This window comes from Homo sapiens, chromosome 8 (assembly GCF_000001405.40).
Source record: "Homo sapiens chromosome 8, GRCh38.p14 Primary Assembly".
Taxonomy (NCBI): Eukaryota; Metazoa; Chordata; class Mammalia; order Primates; family Hominidae; genus Homo; species Homo sapiens.
The window spans coordinates 139,403,685-139,408,215 of NC_000008.11; the positions used below are offsets into that span (position 1 = coordinate 139,403,685).

At 48.3% G+C, this 4,531-nt stretch overlaps 2 annotated features.

The window, feature by feature from the left end:
* Positions 967-1,615: an enhancer, noted in NCBI's record as "NANOG-H3K4me1 hESC enhancer chr8:140416894-140417542 (GRCh37/hg19 assembly coordinates)". NCBI's record gives its function as "activates a minimal SCP1, AML or CMV promoter by ChIP-STARR-seq in naive and primed H9 embryonic stem cells {active_cell/tissue: H9 hESC(naive and primed)}" and the evidence as "EXISTENCE:reporter gene assay evidence [ECO:0000049][PMID:30033119]".
* Positions 2,235-2,344: a silencer, noted in NCBI's record as "silent region_19572". NCBI's record gives its function as "represses an Ori minimal core promoter by ATAC-STARR-seq in GM12878 lymphoblastoid cells {active_cell/tissue: GM12878}" and the evidence as "EXISTENCE:reporter gene assay evidence [ECO:0000049][PMID:35858748]".

Below are 4,531 nucleotides of genomic sequence, written 5' to 3' on the forward strand. Positions count from 1 at the left end.
TCTGGCCCAGAATTTCAGAGTGTCAGGAAACAAGCTCAAGATTATTCCTTCAAGGCCAAGTGCAGTCGCTCACGCCTGTAATCCCAGCACAGCACTTTGGGAGGCCGAGGCAGGTGGATCACTTGAGGTCAGGAGTTCAAGACCAGTCTGGCCAACATAGTGAAACCCCATCTCTACTAAAAATAATAAAAAAAAAAATAACCAAGAATTGTGGCATGTGCCTGTGGTCCTTGCTACTCAGGAGGCTGAGGCATGAGAATTGTTTGAACCTGGAAGGCAGAGGTTACAGTGCAGTGAGCCAAGATAACGCCACTGCAACTCCAGCCTGGGTGTCAGAGCAAGACTCTGTCTCAAAAAAAACAAATGAATATTTCTTCTACTGGGGTCAGGGAGGACTAATGACGTGGGCCAGCACTGTGAAGAAAGCCCACCATGTTCTGCATCTTTATCCCAGTGCAGAAGCAGAGTGATGTGGGCAGAAGAGAGAGCAGCAACTCCAGGTTGGGCATCCCTCACAGGAGGGTCAGCACCTCCAGGTTGGGCATTCCGCACAGGAGGATCAGTTACACTGTCAGGTGGGGGAAGGGCTGGTCAGCTGGGACCTCAGGGAGGGGTGGAGACATCATCTCGGGATGGAAAATGAGACCAGGCACAGATCACCGAGCAGTGGGAGGCAGCCCGGCATTCCTTTGCCAACTTCTTTTTCCAAGGGGATGATGATACTCTACATACTGAAGTCATTTTCTCAGAATTTAATCTGGACCACAGAGTCTCCCGGAAGTGACTTGGTCAGTGTCCAGGGAGCCGGGGAGAAATGGAACGGGAAGATGTTTAAAAAGTAGCAGCCAGGTGTTTGCAGGAACAGGACCCAGGAGCAACAGAGCAGGTGCAGAACTCTGGCTGCAGGCATGTATTTGTCTCACCTCCTGTCCCTTAGCTTTCCCCAGGCCCACACCCTGGAGAGTTCATAGCCCCCCTCCACCCCAACCATTCGGTGCGTTTTGATCTCAACTCCCTGGAGAGAGACTCACTGTGGCTATAGTGGAGAAAAGGTGGAGAACTGACAGTGGAGAACTGACAGCTGGAGAACAGGCTGTGGCTATAGTGCCAAGACTCAGCAGATTTAGGAACTTCTTGAGTGACAATTGAACTTGCCCAGAGGGCATGTGCATGTTAACAAGGGTGGAAGACAATGCCCTGAGCCAAATAAAAGAATTGTAAGCAGTCTGAGTTCAGGTCTTATGGGATGAGAGGGTTTTGTTGTGCAGCACTTTACAATGCTCAGATCACACTGGTTATTCACCAACAGCTCTACCTGTCAAGAGGGCAGAAGGCCGGCGCTCACTGACTACTTGCTCTGTGGGTGGCACAGTGCTAAGCTTTTAAACATATATGATTAGCAAGATTTATCTTATTCAAACTTTACAACAGTCTTCTGAGGTAAATCTTAAGGAATCCCGATATTCAGATGAGAAGCAAGCATTGGTGGTTAAGTGACTTTCCTGGAGTCACCGGGCCATAGTGGAACTGGAATTGGGCCCCAGGTCTGGCTTCCAGGGCGCCCATGCTTTCTCCTTTCTAAGCTTGCTGCAAAACTTCCTGAACTCAGAGATGCAGACCAGAAATGCAAGTTCTGGAGGCTCCACCCCTGGGGCTCTGATTCCAGTCGGGGAGTGATGAGCACCAGCCAGTTGCCTCCAGGCGGCTGCTTAGGTCCAGCTCCTGGAAGCAGAAGCGGGCTCAGGTGGAAACAGGTGAGGAGACTTACCGGCGAGAGTTCTCAGGGCCATCACCTAGGGCGAGGATAGGACGCAGGTCAGGCTGTAAGTCACGGCAAGGCCTCAGTGGCGATTAATGGAAGCTCTGAAGCTGAGGCCACCCTTCAGAATTGGCCTGAGTTGAAAGGAGGGAGCCGGAGCTCTATACAGCTCCTTGAGCAACCACTGGGTTGAGTCGCCCTGGAAGGTGGGAGATAAGACGCACAGCCAGGTAGCTCTCTTCAGCGGAGGCGGTCCCAAAAGGGGCTAAGGGTGGAGAACTGTTAGCCACCCGCCTCCCGGCAGCTGGTGAAATACACCCTTGCATGCTGACCCTTTAATGATGAAGAGCCATTAATGCTGTGGATACACAGCGTTCACAACAGGAGCTCTGTATAAAATCCACAGAAACCATGTCTGAAGTCACGGGAGTCCCGCCGAACAACCGTTCACAGATCCACCTTCATGGTTCTCACCGGTGGTTTATGAGTGCCAGTAGGGGGCAGCAAAGAGCTTCTCAGGTGCTGTTACCCTACTGTACTGAGTTGCTGGAGCAAGAGCCTGGAGCAAGCACCACCTGGGAAGGAATTGCTGGGTGCCAGAAATGCAAGCGAGCCCAAGACTCCACCATCATTAGCAAAATCTGACAGTAAATAGGTAGGTAGGACGCAGATCACAAGGAACGTATGTCATGCAAAGAAGCTGGGTGTTACTCTAGAGCTGATGGGAAGCCCCTGAGTGGTTTTCAGCCTGGGAAGTGATGCATTTGATGTGTTTTAGGAAGCTTGTTCTGTCTTCAGGGAGGATGCAGGCAATGGGAATGCAGAGGGTGCCTTATTAGGGGGTGCCATTTCTTTGCAGCCATGCAACAAATTACTTAACCTCACTATCCAGGCCTGAAAAATTGCGAGGAGGTAACAGTGTCCACATTACAGAGCTCCCATGCCAATTAAGAGGAATAAGCTATATAAAATGCTTAGCACAATTCTTGATAAATAATGCCTACTCACTAAACCTTGTTAGAGTGATTATTTTCATTATATTTAAAGATTTAATCAAGAGACTGTGGTTACAGATTGGATGTAAGGAGAGGAGGATGGCAAGGCCATTCATGGACACCAGACATGAAAGCGGAGGTTTGCAGGGAGAGGAGGAACCCCAGGAGGCAGACAAGTCTGGGGCCCCCTGCCTGAGTGAGGATGGAGATATTGGGATCTGAGAATCAACAGTGTAGTGGAAGAAACTATACCAAGAGGGATGCATGAGGTCCCCCCAGGAAATAACCAGACAAAAGAGTAAGCATGCACTCCAAACAGCTTCAGAATGGAAAAGGACTGAAGAAGAAATTGCAGGCGATGCTGACATTTTAAGGGTGTTAAGGCATGAGAGGAGCAGCCCCTGGTGGAGAATATAAAGGAGGCCAGGCAGGTATAGGAACAACAGGGGAGAGCAACAACCCAGATGCCAGGAGAGCTGGGTTTTCAAGGAGAAAGTAGCTGGCAAAGAGTCCAGTGCAGCACAGATGTCAGGCAAGATGGGTCTGGGGAGGGGAAGGAATGGACAGCTTTTCTAGAACAACACTAGTGAGGGCAGAGGGCCAACCACAGTGAGCCGAGGAGCTCAAGCTGGAGAGGCAGCAGACAGTCATATGTGGGTGGTAAGGTGGGCAGCCTACAGGTTTTATTAAGTAGGCAGTGTAGAAGGACAAACATGGATAAATCGAGATATGTGATTGATAGATAGATGATAGATAGATGATGATAGATAGATAGATAGATGATAGATAGATAGATAGATAGATAGATAGATAGATAGATAGATAGATAGATCAGACTACAGCTTAAGTCCCACTTGTCAACTCTGTCTTCTAAGCACTTACCTATATTATCTCATTTAATAATTTGGGATGTGTATTGTTATCCCTGTTTTAAAAACAAGGAGAGTCTGGGTGCAGAGAGATTACAGGAGTTGCCCAAGATTACCCACTAGGAAGCGGTAGACCCAGGCATCAAATCCAGGCAGTCTGACTCCCTTTTAAGATATCTGAAGGCTTTATCTTAGGTATCATTATTTAGTGATGGCATGTAGGGAGGACTGGTGGTGAGTAACCTAGAGATGGGGGATGAGAAGGAGTGAAGGGACTGAAGAAAGAGGTAAAGGCCAGAATTTGAAGTGGTCCCAAGAGCAAAGTAGATGTTACTCAAGAACAAGGCAGCCTGGGGTGATTGAGTGTGTTTATTCTGCCTGGCTAAGTGTTGTAGAAAATTGTAATGGAATAAATAAAATATTTAGAAAAGCATTGAGGTGAGAAACGATTCATATAGCGTGATTTATTTTGTAAGTAAAGGTGAGCATATATAAATATGCAACCACATAGTTGCTTATATAGAGAGAATACTCCTGAAAAGATACAAGAACTGGCTAGGTGCGGTGGCTCACGCCTGTAATCCCAGCACTTTGGGAGACCAAGGTGGGCGGATCACCTGAGGTCAGGAATTCAAGACCAGCCTGGCCAAAACATGGAGAAACCCCATCTCTACTAAAAATACAAAAATTAGCCAGGCGTGGTGGTGGGTGCCTGTAGTCCCAGCTACTTGGAAGGCTGAGGCAGGAGAACCGCTTGAACCCAGGAGGCAGAGGTTGCAGTGAGCCAAGATCCTTTGCACCATTGCACTTCAGCCTGGGCTACAAGAGCAAAACTCCGTCTCAAAAAAAAAAAAAAAGATAAAAAGATAGAAAAGATACAAGGAACTGAAGAGAGGAACTGGGATTAG